The sequence below is a fragment of the Homo sapiens genome, chromosome 6 (assembly GCF_000001405.40).
Source record: "Homo sapiens chromosome 6, GRCh38.p14 Primary Assembly".
Taxonomy (NCBI): domain Eukaryota; kingdom Metazoa; phylum Chordata; class Mammalia; order Primates; family Hominidae; genus Homo; species Homo sapiens.
Genome location: NC_000006.12, coordinates 89,708,300 through 89,724,160, shown reverse-complemented (window position 1 = coordinate 89,724,160; position 15,861 = coordinate 89,708,300). Strand labels below are relative to the sequence as shown.

The following is a 15,861-nucleotide window of genomic DNA, read 5'->3' as shown; positions in this document are numbered from 1 at the left end:
TTTTTTTTTTCTTTTTTTGAGATGGAATCTTGCTCTGTCGCCCAGGCTGGAGTGCAGTGGCGTGATCTTGGCTCACTGCAATCTCCTCCTCCTGGGAGCAAGCAATTCTCCTGCCTCAGCCTCCTGAGTAGCTGAGACTACAGGCGCATGCCACTATGCCCAGCTAATTTTTGTATTTTTAGTGAAGACAGGGTTTCGTCATGCTGGTCAGGATGGTCTTGATCTCTTGACCTCATGATCCACCTGCCTTGGCCTCCCAAAGTGCTGGGATTACAGGTGTGAGCCACCGCACTGGGCCTCTTTTTTCTTTAATTCACTAGAATAGACCTTAAAAACAAAACCTCTACTCAGCTGTATTTAGAAGATTTTATGATTCTTTATTCTCAAAACACAAAAAAAGAAATTTCTATAACTGAAAATTATATTTCTCATGTATTGTTACTTGGTATTAAAGATTTTGCATAATAAGACATGGTAGTCATTTCTAGTGTTTGGTAAAGAGAAACAAAGGCATTTCTTCATATTATTTTTGGATTTCTAGGTCTTCGTTGATCCCCTTACAGTAATTGACATGGAGTTCATTGCCAGTACTTTGTTTCCAGCCATTGAGAAAAATATTGTTAAGAAAATGGTTGCTTTCAATAACCAAGTAAGTACCTACACGTATTGGTTTCTTTTTTTTTCTGGCTGTATTTGAACCAGTATTTTTTCAACATAGAGTTCTACCAAATTATCAGGATCTCTAACTAAAAAAAATTACTTTGAATTCTACAGGTTTCTAGTGGAAGGGACACTATGTAGTGGAGGCTTCCAGTAATTCATTTCTGTATTGTGACTACCAGTGTTAATGCTTAGAGGATAAGCCAGGCATTTGGAAGTCTTGAGAAAGAGGCTCTGAATCAAGCCTGTTAATTTTTGTTTCAGATTACATATGCTTTTGTAGTACATTCCTAGTACTTAATGCAGTGCCTAGTAGTAAGCAGGGCATGTTTCCCAATCAGGATGTTTTCTTTCTAGATTGATCATGAAGTGACTGTTGAGAAGAAATGGGGGCAAAAAGGAGGACCCTGGGAATTCAACCTCCGGGACCTTTTCCGCTGGTGTCAGTTGATGCTGGTTGACCAGTCCCCTGGGTGTTATGATCCTGGTCAGCATGTGTTTTTGGTCTATGGTGAAAGAATGAGAACCGAAGAGGACAAAAAAAAGGTGAGTTTCACGCTTGGTATTTGTATTTCTTTCCATCTGAAAGTTGATTTCCTGTGGGTGAGAAAGGACATACACTAATTGCAAGCCTTTTTTTTTTTTTTTTTTTTTGAGACTGGGTTTCACTCTTGTTGCCCAGGCTGGAGTGCAATGGCATAATCTTGGCTTGCTGCAGCTTCACCTCCCAGGTTCAAGTGATTCTCCTGCCTTAGCCTCCCAAGTAGCTGGGATTACAGGCATAAGCCACCAGTTCCGGCTAATTTTTTGTATTTAGTAGAAACGGGGTTTCACCATATTGGTCAGGCAGATCTCTACTCCTGAATTCAGATGATCCACCTGTCTCAGCCTCCCAAAGTGCTGGGATTACAGGCGTGAGCCACCACGCCCGGCTAGCAAGCCTGTTAAAGCTGCTTCAAAATTTAAAAGTTAAAAGAACAGACTAAACGTTCTCCTACCTTGGGGTCTCACAATATAGAGTAGCTTGCTTTAGAGGACATAATTTGCTTATCTATCCAAATCCCCATGATCACATACCTTAAAGCAGTATTGCCCTCCAGTAGTAAAGAACTAAGTCTTCACCATCTTTACAGGCACCAAGGTGAGAAGCAGGAGGAGGCAGACAGGTGATACTCCGTAGAAGAGGAAGTTTTTCTGTTTTGTTTTGTTTTTAAATAAATGTCAAATTACAAAGCATTTTGTCTAGAAAGTATAATCGTATAAAGAGAGAATATTCTGTGTTTAAGTGAAAATAAAAATACCTGTTTGTAAAACTAGAATTCCCACTGTAAGGAATTGTAATAACGTGTGCATTTTAGTTTGTGGTATTTAAAATCCTGTCTCGCTGAATGCTCACAGTAGCTATAGGCAGGAGGTGCTGTCATGGCATCTTACAGGTGAAGATCCAAGGCTTAAAGTTATGGAGTGTCACAGGTAGCAGAGCCAGCTTTCCAGTTTAGGCCCTCTCCAGTTTGTCTGCTGTTTCCTTCTAGTAAACTTCACTGTTTGAAAATAAATGAATAGATACATAGATGCATGCACTAGAAGCAGTAACCTCCTTGTTGAAATGTGAACATGTGGCTGGCCCATAGCACATGTGACTTTCACAGCCCTTTCATTCTGCTACCCATTCTGTTTGTTCTTATTTTTTTTCTTTTTTTGGATTGCAAAAATTTATTAAAATTGGAGACATTGTTTTAATCTTCTTGTGCCATGAGACTCCATCAGGCGGTCTACAAAGACCATTGGGAGGCTGAGGATCACTTGAGCCCAGAAGTTTGAGGCTGTAGTAAGCTTCAAAGGCCGCTGCACTCCAGCTTGGGTGAGGCAAGACCCTTTCAAGCAGTAAGCTGCATGCTTGCTTGTTGTGGTCATTAAAAACCCTAGTTTAGGATAACAGGTCTGCCTGCATTTCTTCAAGCATGAATTCTGAGTTCTTTGCTTCTTTAAAACTTGCTCCACACAGGGTAGTCAAGCCAACTCTCCATACCTTTAAAAGGTATGACAGGAACTGTCTTCATGTCCTTACCCAAGCAAGCCATCCACGGATAAAAACGTTACCAGGAGCAGAACCGTTAAGCTGGTCCAGACAAGTTGGACTCCACCATTTCAACTTCAGCTTTCTGTCTAATGCCTGTGTGCCAATGGCTTGAGTTAGGCTTGCTCTTTAGGACCTGGGAAGAAACAATTCAGTAGCTATTCTCATCCCTCCTTTGGGACAGAACTGTCCATAAGGTGCTATCCAGAGCCACACTGCATCTGCACCCAGCACCATACCTCACAGGAGTCGACTCCTACCTCGAAAAGCTGTTCTTATTTTTTTTGAGGCAGGGTCTGACTTTGTTGCCTAGGCTGGAATGCAGTGGCACAATGCCGGCTTAATGTAGCCTTGACCTCCTGGGCTCAAGGGATCTTCCCACCCCAGCCCACTGATAAGCTGGGACTATAGGCACATGCCACCAAGGCATGGCTAATTTGTTTTTACTTTTAATAGAGATGTGGTCTTGCCGTGTTGTCCAGGCTGGTCTTGTACTCCTGGGCTCAAGCAATCTTCCTGCCTCAGTCTCCCAAAGTGCTGTGATTACAAATGGAGTGAGCCACTGTGCCCGGCCACCCAGAGCTTCTTTAGTGTGGTATTCAGAATCTAATTACACACTAACTCATTTATCATACGTAGGTGACTTTCAATCATTTGATTAGGAGAAAGTCTTAGTAGTTTTTAACAGCTTTATTGATATATAATTCACATAATCAGCTAGTATTTTAATTTCTTCATCCACTTATAGTATATTAATTATGACCAAAACACATGCCAGTTGTTGAATGATTGATTAGTCAGGTGCTGGGTCATTGTGGTATGTGGAAGTTTTCCATCACTCTTCCAATTCAAGGTTATTGTAATGGACCTTATAGGTGTTTTCTAGCGGGGGAGACAAGGTCAAGAAAAATAATGTTATAGAAGGATAAAGTCTGTAAAAGCTAGAAGAGTCCAGTTGAATGGAATTTTGATTTTATAAAGCTAAACCAAAGAGCTAGATTGGGAATTTTTTTTTTTTTTTTTTGAGATGGAGTCTTGCTCTGTCGCCCAGGCTGGAGTACAGTGGCGTGATCTTGGCTCACTGCAACCTGGGTTCAAGTGATTCTCCTGGCTCAGCCTCCCGAGTAGCAATATTTGTAATTTTAACCCTCTGGTAGAACATCAGGGGTTGGAGATTATATACTTTAGTGTGGAACATGAGGTCATGTATCACCTGGACTCATAGGTAGGTGACAGGAACACTTTCCTATGCTGCTTTTAGTCTCACAGTCCAATGTTTGACACTGATTATGATTTTATCTATATTATTTTTATTTTTTAACTTCATTGTAGTATTCAATTATGTAAGTATTGCTGCTTTTTAGAAATACTATTTTGTATACTTTATTTATTTTTTTTCTGGCTTTAATTTTCCCTACTTCTGTGGGCTAAATTAATGTTTTTTATATACCTCTATCCGCCCCCCACCATTACTCTTAGATTTTTTAGAGATCCAAAATAAAAGAGTCAACAGAACATTTTCTAATAGCATTACTGCTAATGAAAGGATAACAATGTAAATAATTGGTTAGAGGAATAAATTTGGTTTTCATATCTACATAAATGTTTGGAGGGATAACATGTTTTTTGGAGGCTGACTGGCTTAGATTTAAAATCGGTCACCAACCATGGGCAAATTCTATAACTCTTGTGAGTGCTGTTGTCTATATAAAATGGACATGGTAACTATTTTGCATGGGTATAAAGATCAGAAATAATCTACCAAAGTACTTAATACAGTGTTTGGTACATAGGAGGTGGTTAATGAATGGTCATTTTTCTTTATAATCTTCGTATTACTGTTCTATCCTCTTTTTAGGTAGTATCTTCAATGATGAAAGCAAACAACTCTTTTTTTGTCTCTAGATTTCAATACTACAGTGTCCATGGCTTCAATTTAATTTATGGTGCATTGTTACTGGAATCTCAGATAGTTTGGAATATGACTGCTATGTTCTCAATCTCAAATTTACTTTCATTCCAAAGAATTAAATAAATGCAGTCAATCCTTTTTATAAGAGAAAATTCAAAAGGATAAGGGAATTGTGGCCAGTGTTTTTAGAATAGTGACTCTTATCACTGTGCTTGTTTTCTAGAAAGTTTGCCTAAGAATTAGGTGGAGTGATTTGTGTTTTCATTGCATTATCTTCTTCCTTTAGGTCATTGCTGTATTCAAGGATGTGTTTGGTTCAAATTCCAACCCATACATGGGAACCAGACTATTTCGTATCACTCCCTATGATGTTCAGGTAAGGAGACTAGGATAATCCTCTATCCTTTGACATTTTTTAATGGTTTCTTCTGCTCCCACTACCAGGCACGCTTATGGAAATCTCACTGGCATGTCTTTTCAGTTGGGCTACTCAGTCCTTTCCCGTGGGAGCTGTGTTCCTCACCCGTCCCGCCATCCCCTGTTGCTCCTGCACCAGTCATTCCAACCCCTGGAGTCAATCATGAAGTGTGTGCAGATGAGCTGGATGGTCATCCTGGTCGGGCCAGCCTCTGTGGGCAAGACCAGCCTGGTCCAGCTTCTGGCACACCTTACTGGCCACACATTAAAGATCATGGCTATGAACAGTGCAATGGATACTACTGAGCTGCTGGGTGGATTTGAGCAGGTAACCAGTCTGCCTTCATATTTTCTGGCAAAGCATAATAAACCCCGTGGTCTGACTGAGAGTCTTCTGAGTTGGTGATGAGTACAGATAACAGTATTCTCTGACCCTATGATGAGTTCATGTCCTCTGGAAATTACAGGTTGATCTTATACGACCTTGGAGGAGGCTGCTAGAGAAGGTGGAGGGAACTGTAAGGGCACTGTTAAGGGATAGCCTCCTTATCAGTGCTGATGATGCAGAAGTAGTGCTGCGAGCCTGGAGTCATTTTCTTCTGACATATAAGCCTAAGTGTCTTGGAGAAGGTGGTAAAGCTATCACGATGGAGATTGTCAACAAACTAGAAGCAGTGTTATTGCTTATGCAGCGACTCAACAATAAAATCAACTCATACTGCAAGGCAGGTATGTATATTTGGATCTCTGTATCAGGAACTTACCATTGCTTATATTGTGTCCATTTACACGTAATAGATTTACAAATGTTTTGTATTAATTTAGTAATTATTAACAATCAGAACTTGTGGGAAAGTTTGACCTAGAAAGTAAAATGAAGCTGAGGTAAAGTATTCAGAATAGTTGATCCTGAAAAATCAAATAGGAAAAAAATTGGTTACGTTGCTTTATGGTTTATTTTGTGTGTAATCACCTATAATGATAAAACAGCATGTAAAACTTTTATTATTACTGGCTATTTTTTTACTCAATAATTTCTCAGGAAATTGAGCATTTTTAAACTGAAGAATAGGAGTCTGAATTCATAGGATGTGTTTATTCATTTGTGTGGAGATGGAGGAAATATATCATCCTGTATGCCATCCAATTAACATGGAAATTTCTCTCATTTTGTGGTGCCACTTTCAGAGTGGTGGTGAGCATGCTCTTAGGGAGGATTCAACCTAAAGGCCCACAGGCTGGGTCTGTCACTATGCTTGTCATTCTTTATTTCCAAAGCCTGCTTGTAACTGATTACAAAGTGTTGATTCCTTATAGCCGAAGAAATCAGACATCCCACTTCTTGGCCAGCAAACATTTTATCTGTGGCGGTGGGCCACTCATTTACTTTCTTCATTGTTGATTTGATCTGTCATTTCTCACTTTAAGCCTGCCATTTGAACTTGAAATCCTTTACTCATTCACTCTAATTATAAAAGATATCCGATGCAGTCATGTGTCATATATTTTTAAATGGGTATTGTAAAACTCACCATTGAGTTATGAATTTCTATTATAAACACTATACTGAATATATGTACTTTTAATCACCGTGACAACACTGCATTATAGGAAGGATTATCTACATCTAATAGATGAGGATGTGAATATTCAAAGAGACAAAATTACTTGCCTACAGTTTTACAGTTAGCAAGTGGTTGGACTATGGTATGTTAAGTCTAAACCTCGTTACTCCCTCATCTTTAGAAGTAGAAATCCAATGTGTATTACCTTGTGATATGAAAAATGGTCATAAAACAGTTTCCAACCAAAAAGATCAACTGAAAAATTTCGAGGGAAGGGCTATATAAACTATAAAGCATTTGGCAAGTAATTACCAGTTATTACTATATTACTATAATCATATGATATGCTCATTATAAAGGAAGCCCAGTTTGCACTGTGTGAAGTTATAGCACTTTCATTTAGTATAAATGCACTGATAGGTGGGAAACGTCCTCCTTCTGCCATTTGAGAAACCGTAATACAGAAAAATCATTTGCCACCTCTATCACCCTAGAGTCAACCCTGAGTAGCTATTAATACAGAGAGCCATTAAAACGTATTTTCTGTCTTAAACTTAACTTTCCTATCTGTGTTTAAACAGAAGCAAAACATTCTTCTATTTATTCTTTTATGAAATCTTAAAAACCTTGGCTAGAAGTATCAAGCTTCCTTTTCATAAACTTAATTCTTTGTTTGAAGTTAAGTGCTGTGGATGGTGATTCTTCCCTGTGACATTTCAGAGTTTGCCAAACTTGTTGAAGAGTTCCGAAGCTTTGGTGTGAAGCTTACGCAGTTGGCCAGTGGCCATAGCCATGGCACATTTGAATGGGTTGACAGCATGTTGGTTCAGGCCCTGAAGTCTGGAGACTGGCTTCTGATGGACAATGTTAACTTCTGCAAGTAAGAACCTTATGCCTAATCAGTGGTCCAACTTGAAATTTGGGATATGCTTGTCAAAGTAGAAACCCAGATAGAAGTGCTGGTATTTTGAAGCTACTGTTTTTCTTAATTACGCAAGCGTCCTCAGCCATATTCTGTAGACTTCTCCCTGTGGTGAACAGTGGTAATTCGTCATCAGACAGTTATAAGATTTCAGCTCTGTATGATAATTTTCAGCCAAAGCAAAGGCTAACAAAATTGGATTATTTTTCCTGGCAATGTCCTTTGAGTTAGGCCTTTTAATTTAATATCAGAAGTCTTCCTTTTGTTAGGGTTTCTTCAGTGCAGTTTTTTCTAATGCAGGGTCTGACACAGGGCAGGCATTTATTAAATGGCCATCAGTGATGCAGCAATTCAACCATGTATCATTCTTGATCTTGCAGTAAGGTAAAGGACAAGTGTGAAACTATTGTACATATACAGTTAACATAGAAGCTACTACAAGTTAGATGATGACTATTTCTTCACGGAGCATTTATCTGAATGTTACAAATTGAAATCCAGCTGCCTTAAATGGATTTGATAATGTTGAGGGATGGGGGGCAGGAAAGGAAAAAGTGAAAAGGTTATAGTGCAAGGAACTTATCATTTTCTTTAATTTCATTTATTCAAAAATATCTTGTGTATTTACTGTGTATAAGGCCCTGGGCTATGTGCCTAGGGAAGCGAGAAGGAAAATCAATGGGGAATCTACTTTTGAAAGAGATCACTGTTGTATCTGGGTGAATGATTGTGCCGAAAGGAAATGTGAGTCAAAAGCATTTGGAGCCCCGTGCATGGAAGGAAAGAAGAGTCAATGCAGCATGTCAGCCTATCCACCATCTGAATTCTGTCTCTGCAGCCCATCAGTGTTGGATCGTTTGAATGCTTTGCTTGAACCCGGAGGTGTCCTCACTATTAGTGAGAGAGGAATGATAGATGGATCCACTCCCACGATAACACCAAATCCCAATTTCAGGTATTTGTATCTCTTACATTTCTGCCTCAGAATCTGACAGCCTCAGTAGCAGAGGTAGACGTTCAGTAGGACTTCCTTATATATTTTATTTATAAACTGAATCATGGAGAAGTTCACCCATTTATTAATTCACTTAACAAATACTTACTGAGGCTTTACTATTTGCCAGGCATTGCTGGGCTCTGGAAACACAGCATAAACAAGAGGGGCAAGGTCCTTGCCTTGCATTGGTGACGAAGGTGGGAAGCAGAGATACCAGTCATGATCCTTTTGCAGTAATTTAGGCAACACATCACAGTGGCTTAGATGAGGGTGGTCAGATGGGTTGGTTTGCTGATGGACATGTGGGTTGAGAAAAAGAAGAATCAAGGATGACACCTATGTTTTTGGCTTGAGTAACTGGGTAAATGGGGTTGCCATTCATTGAGAAAGGGAAGACTGGTAAAGGAGCAGGTTTAATGTGGGGAGGGTCTACCGGGAATCAGCTGTTTACTTTCAGACATACATCAGAGGTGTAAGATAACTAGATGGAGATGTTGATGGGCATTCAATATATGAATCCAGTTGTTTCAGGAGACTACACTTGCTTCCTGTTCTGCTGTCTGTAGGTGAGTTAGAATAATGAATTAGTACAGCCTACTCTGGGGAATATCTGAAGGTTAAATTTTTAAAGTTCTCAGCACTAAAGGTACACTGGATATATCATACACAGTTCCTTAGGAAAGTAGGTTTAGAGAAAATCTTTTGCTATATTGATGCATGCTAGAAGTAAAAGATCCTTGGTGTGAATTCTGTGACAATGAGCCACATAGGATTTGCCCTCACTGACTGATGCTGAGCTACACCTTTGGTTGCACTGGGATTTAAAATCATTTTTTTCTTTGAATTGCTATTTTTCTAGACTTTTCCTCTCGATGGATCCTGTTCATGGAGATATATCCCGAGCTATGAGGAATCGTGGACTTGAAATCTACATTTCAGGGGAAGGGGATGCAAGCACCCCAGACAACCTGGATTTGAAAGTTCTGCTGCACAGCCTTGGATTGGTGGGGAACAGTGTATGTGACATCCTCTTGGCTTTACACACAGAGACCCGGAGCACTGTTGTAGGTGAGGTGCTTGACTTTTGGGCCTTTGCAGAGTTTTAGTCTTCAAGAAATTTATGTCATTCCATTGGACTGCTCATCAAAGATTTCGTACATTTAGTGTATATAGAAATTATCAGGAAAGCTTGTTAAAAATGTGGATTTCCAGACACCCCAAGAGATTGGGTTCAGCAGGGCAGGGCAAGGCACAGGAATCAGTATCTGAAAGACGCTTCTTATGTCATTCTGATGCAAGTAAGCAGAGGCTAACCCTCGAGTAATTCCACTTTACGCACTGAGGTTTATGAAGTTTGCCCATCATTTCTCCAGGGTCATCAACAGCCTCTTGAAGTTGGAATAAAGAGGAAACTTTGAGTTGTTTAAAGCAGACAGGTGTTACTTTTTCTAAACTTTCAATTACACAAAAAGGAACAAGATAATAAATGAAGTATTGCTTGTTGGATAACTACTCTGTGTTAGGTACCATGCAGATTGTTTATTTAATCTTTTTTTTTTTTTCTTTTTTTTTGAGACAGAGTCTCACTCTGTCGCCCAGGCTGGACTGCAGTGGCGTGATCTTGGCTCACTGCAAGCTCCGCCTCCCAGGTTCATGCCATTCTTCTGCCTCAGCCTCTCCGAGTAGCTGGGACTACAGGCACCTGCCACCACGCCCGGCTAATTTTTTTTTTATTTTTAGTAGAGACAGGGTTTCACTGTGGTCTCAATCTCCTGACCTCGTGATCCGCCCACCTAGGCCTCCCAAAGTGCTGGGATTACAAGCGTGAGCCACCATGCCCAGCTGTTTATTTAATCTTTACATTAGTTCTGCAAGGCATATGTTTTCATTTTTCAGATAAGACTCAGAGAGTTTGAGTAATTTATCAGTTAATAATAACAGCTGGAATTTGCAAATAGGCCTGTTGGATTTCAAATCCCATGGTCTTTTATGAGGTTACACTCAACTTGCCACCTTCAGTGTGTGTCAGCATTAGATTAAGGATATATGTGACCAGACTTTATCACATCTATAAATGAGTCCCCCATAATAAACTACAGACAGCCATAGAGAAACAGGGGAGATAGGAATACAAAGGTTCCTACAGGTCCTTTGTGCCCTCGGAGGACTCTAGAGTCTACTTGGAATGTTTTGTAAAGTAAGTATTTGGGTGGGGTTGACAGGAAGGAGGTTTGATGGGAGGGCAGAATTTATCCATTTTCATTGGAGATTTTAAAGACTCTATTGTTTATAGATGGCAATTTTTTTTTAATAGGTTCTCCAACATCTTCTGTATCAACTCTAATCCAGACAGCCATACTAATTGTCCAGTACCTGCAGCGAGGGCTGAGTTTAGACAGAGCCTTTTCTGAAGCATGCTGGGAAGTATATGTCTGTTCCCAGCATTCACCAGCAAACCGGAAGGTACTATGAAGTATTGCAGAATGTTTCTAAGTTGTAATACCCTACATTCTTGAGTACGAGGAAATTATTTTTAAAGGTGGCAACCCAGTGACCTAAGAGAGTTGACCACTGCAGTTTGCTCTAATAGAGATCTGGTATCCAGGTACTTTTCTGGAAAATAGCTTGAATGTAAATATTCCTTTTTTTTTTTTTTTAAACTTACATGTCATCAGGAAAAGTAGAATTTGACTTGTGTTTTTCATTGAAGAGTGTATTAAAAGTTGTTGTGAGGTGGTCGCATGGACTATTATTACTTTGCTGGTTTTTGGGGAATATCACTTTTATGTTGGTACCACTGTATTGTGTTTTTGTCTCCTACCAGCTTGTACAGGCTTTACTGGAGAAACATGTTTCTTCTTTGCGAGCACATGAAACCTGGGGAGACTCCATTCTTGGCATGGGACTGTGGCCAGATTCTGTGCCCTCAGCTCTCTTTGCTACTGAAGATTCACACCTGTCTACAGTCCGAAGAGATGGACAGATCTTAGTATATTGTCTCAACAGGATGAGCATGAAAACCAGCAGCTGGACAAGGTCAGTGGAGCCTTCAGCTTGTGTCTCTGGTTTCTTGGCTGGTTTTTATTTTTGCTGGAAATGGTCAGGACACAATATATTTAACTGGAGCATTCTGTGGCCATTTATTGTGTAGCTGTCATAGTTTTATTGTTCATTGTGATATTGCTCCCTATTGATTATTTATTAGGTATGTTTTAACTTTCTTCCTCTGTGGGAGACTCTCCTTTTCTCTCTTACCTTTGATCCAATATTTGTGAAAGAGGTTTTCTCAGTTATTTGGAATGTGAAATAAAAGGTTATTCTAGTACTGAGTTTGTTCATTCAAATGAATTTCAGGAGTCAGCCTTTTACCTTGCAAGACTTAGAGAAAATTATGCAGTCCCCCAGCCCTGAGAACCTGAAATTCAATGCAGTCGAAGTGAATACTTACTGGATCGATGAACCAGATGTTTTGGTCATGGCTGTTAAATTGCTCATAGAAAGAGCAACCAATCAGGATTGGATGCTCAGAGTTAAATGGCTTTATCATTTAGCCAAGAATATACCGCAGGGGCTTGGTGAGTAGAACAGCTTAATTTGTCCACTGATGTGATTTATATACACTTATGCTATTTAAGTGCCTCAGCAGCTGTGTTAATCTGTGACTACACTGTTAAAATTACAGTTGGGAGGTCTCCTAGGAAGAAATTTGTGGTCTAGCATTACTGTTAAGGAGCAAGTCTGCCTGTAGATGTGTCACAAGATAAACTTTTGTTTCCATGTTATCCTTAGCATTTCAGGATATAGTCACCTTCCTAACAAATTCAAAAGGAAAGCATACTGTATTATTTTACTTTTTAGTTTTGAACATCTGCTTTTTGTGCTGTACTACTGCTACAGAACCATTCTATATGGGAAAGGTATTAGTTTTGATAAATGCATTTCCTCTAAAAGTATATAAGATTCTAATCTTATTTTAGTTCCAGTGCTCCATGTTGTCACACTTGGAGTTGTCCCTTGGTATCTGTGGGGGATTGATACAAGGACTCTCCCTCCCCCACCCAGGGACATCAACATACGTGGACGCTAAGGCCCCTTATATAAAATGGGATAGTATTTTCATATACCCTACACACATCCTCCTGTATGCATTAAATCATCTCTGGATTACTTATAATACCTAATACAATGTAAATGCTATGTAAATAGTTGTTGTAGTACGTTGTTTTAAAATTTATATTATTTTTGTTGTATTTTTATTTTTTGTTTTTTTAAATTTTTGAATATTTTTGATCTGTAGTTGGTTGAATTCCACAGATGTGGAACCCTCAGATATGGAGGGCCACCTGTACTTTCTTTGTAGTTCTTTCGTTTTAAGAGAGGACAAAGCAACAATAACAACATTGCTTGAATTGTAAAGTACAGAACATGGAATTTGTTGGTGGAGATTAAGTAATTGAGTTTACATGAGCCTTTCTACTTCATGAGAATTTGTCAATAAGCCCATGGATGTTTATAATATTTTGTAACACATGTGGTCATCTGTCTAAATATATGTAGAGAATTTTTATAAATATTTTTATCTGTATTGTCCTATATGATAGCCACTAGCCAGCCAGAGAGGGCTACTAAAATGTAAATGTAGATTAGATTTAAAAAAATAAAAAATCCAGTCCTTTAGTTGCACTGGCCACATTTCAGGTCCTCATATGTGACTAGTGGTTATTCTATGCAGCTGTAGAACATTTTCATCACTGCAGAACGTTCAATTGGATAGCACTGCTTTAGAGTCTAACACTGGTTTCTCCTTCCTCCACAGAGTCCATACAAATTCATTTGGAAGCCAGTGCTGCATCTCTCAGGAATTTTTACTCACATTCCCTCTCAGGTGCAGTCAGTAATGTTTTCAAAATATTACAACCAAATACAACAGGTATGCACTTTTGATTTCTAGCTCTCAGCACTGTTTTGGAAACTTATCTTTTGACTTTATGGGGAAAAGATCTGACCTGTTAGAGGTCTCAACATAACGGTATTTTTTAGAAGACTCATGATATGCAGAAGCAAATTCTCCTTCTTTTTTTTTGAAATTTCTTTTTTTTTTTTTTAAAGGGACAGGGTCTTACTAAGTTGCCCAGGGTCTTCTTGATATTCTGGCCTCAAACAATCCTCTTGCTTTGGTCTCCCAAACTGTTGGGACTAGAGGCTTGAGCCACCATGCTTGGCCTGAAACTATCCATTTATCCTCCAGCTTCTGAAGGAGGCTGATGATATGCCATGGAGTAAAAAGAATCTAGGAGTTGGAACACTAGGCCCTGGTACCAACTCTGCCACAAACTGGCTTGGTAGATTTTTGGCTCATCATTCACTGTCTCTGCCTGTGTTTAGAAACTAGGGGAATTAAGCTCTTATTTCTCTGAGGTGCCTTCCACCCTTAGCTTTGTGTTGTCTACCAGTATCGTTAGTAGGAAGAGTTTCAAACCACGAGATATTTGACTTAAAGGAAAGTTACACAGGGTCATTTAATTTAGGAAAATATAAACCTTTAATGATAGATGCGGTGACTTGTACCTGTGGTCCAGCTACCTGGGAGGTTGAGAGAGGAGGATTGTGTAAGTCCAGGAGTTTGAGGCTGCAGTGAGCTGTGATAGTGCCACTGACTGCATTCTAGCCTGGGCAACAGAGCCAGACCCTGTCTCTGAGAAAACCTTGATGACGAAGTTATAAAACCATAGTGATAACAGAAATAGACATCTAAGATATCTGATCAAAGGAAGTATTCAAGATTAATTTTTTTTAAATAAGGAGTGAGAGAATAAACATTTCCTAGAACAGAGTAATATTAACTTGATTGGCACAAGCATTAATGAAGAAAATGGGCATTTTCACAACACCAGATTTAAAATTTTCTACCTCCATCTTCATTTGATGTTGATCAAAATATACCACTGGCCATTTGGTTTAGAAGAAAATATGCATGATGCTTTTGTGCTAAATAATTCCTTTATGTGCACTAAAGATCATGGAGTGAATGGGAAGAAATCAAACAATAGAGAAAAATACTTTGCTAGTCAAGTTGTGGCTGAACTAAGGCATGGCTTTCCACTATGAGAGGATTGTAACTTTTACAAACACAGTTCTACAGTAGCAGCTTTCATTTTCAGCAGGCATCGCTTGTCCTCTGTTGGAACACATTAGCTCCAACTGTCCTTTTCAGTTTTGTAGCCCTTTTATCTTACTGAGTGTTGGAATATGGGTTCCCTCCTTAATGTACCTGCTGTTCACAGTATGTCCTGGGTAGTCTGGGTAGTCTACTATATGGTGGATGCTTTTAAAACTTAAAGTGCTCCACTGAACCGTCCTGCCAGCCACCTTCAAATTAATGTTACCCTTTTTTGTGTCTTGCCTCCCTTCCTTGGGTTTTCACAACTTCTGGAGAATGTCAGTCTCCTCCTGCTGCTTCACAGAAGTTGTGTCAGGTGTGAGCCAGAGGATTGTGGGGCAGCAGCAGCCACATTCTGATTATAGAGAATTTGTTTTTAAGTTTAAAAAACTGCATTGTTTTCTTAATGAAAACAGATAGTGAGGTGTATTTATTCATTTTCTGCCATGTACGTATTTTTTTTTTTTTTTAAGCTAATGGTGACCACTGTGTAATTTAGCCCATGGATTAGTGTGATCTCAGGAAGTGAATTCATTGGTTGGAATGTTGTATTCTAGTAGGGATTACCTTTATATCCTGCATTGGGATGAACTTTCAGGACATACAGATACTTTGCATTTGGTAAAGATAGAGTGTAAAAGCTATTAAACCCTGCTATTCTAGTATTATGGGATGAAACTCATGGTATTTACTGGTTCAACCTCTTCCCCATCATGATTCAATGTGCTCAAAGTAAAACAATGAAAATATTCAACTGAAACTTCCCAGGCAAGGAGTTTCTCCAATATTTCTGATTTTTGTTTTGTTCTGTTTTTAAACTAGATGAATTTGTGATCCCTCTGGATCCCCGATGGAATATGCAGGCTCTGGACATGATTAGAAATTTGATGGACTTTGACCCACAAACGGACCAGCCTGACCAGCTCTTTGCCCTTTTAGAATCAGCTGCAAACAAGTAAGTGAAACCTGCTGCTCTGGGCACTGTTTGCCTCACTGGCTTCTCGGATTATACCTTTCCTAAGAATCTGTCAAATAGCTTATGTGTGTTGAATTTTGTGAACCTGAGAAGTTGTGGGGTGTTGGACATGATTGCCTTTATCATACGATAATCATATTTTCTACTGTTTTCTGTTTTTTGTTTTGCTTTTGAG

The 15,861-nt window shown here is 39.2% G+C and overlaps 1 protein-coding gene across 1 annotated transcript in view, besides 1 other annotated feature; it reads left to right on the top strand.

Annotated features, from left to right (window-relative positions):
- MDN1 (midasin AAA ATPase 1) overlaps nt 1-15,861 on the top strand; it is a 177,297-nt gene that overhangs the window by 95,634 nt on the left and 65,802 nt on the right. The window contains exons 39-51 of the mRNA NM_014611.3: nt 542-649; nt 1,018-1,206; nt 4,936-5,025; nt 5,131-5,394; nt 5,534-5,795; nt 7,352-7,511; nt 8,392-8,508; nt 9,410-9,618; nt 10,865-11,013; nt 11,375-11,586; nt 11,905-12,125; nt 13,367-13,480; nt 15,533-15,665. Coding sequence (NP_055426.1) covers nt 542-649; nt 1,018-1,206; nt 4,936-5,025; nt 5,131-5,394; nt 5,534-5,795; nt 7,352-7,511; nt 8,392-8,508; nt 9,410-9,618; nt 10,865-11,013; nt 11,375-11,586; nt 11,905-12,125; nt 13,367-13,480; nt 15,533-15,665 — 2,228 coding nt within the window. The remainder of the gene's footprint in view (nt 1-541; nt 650-1,017; nt 1,207-4,935; nt 5,026-5,130; nt 5,395-5,533; nt 5,796-7,351; nt 7,512-8,391; nt 8,509-9,409; nt 9,619-10,864; nt 11,014-11,374; nt 11,587-11,904; nt 12,126-13,366; nt 13,481-15,532; nt 15,666-15,861) is intronic.
- Nucleotides 2,498-2,999: an enhancer, noted in NCBI's record as "NANOG hESC enhancer chr6:90430881-90431382 (GRCh37/hg19 assembly coordinates)". NCBI's record gives its function as "activates a minimal SCP1, AML or CMV promoter by ChIP-STARR-seq in naive H9 embryonic stem cells {active_cell/tissue: H9 hESC(naive)}" and the evidence as "EXISTENCE:reporter gene assay evidence [ECO:0000049][PMID:30033119]".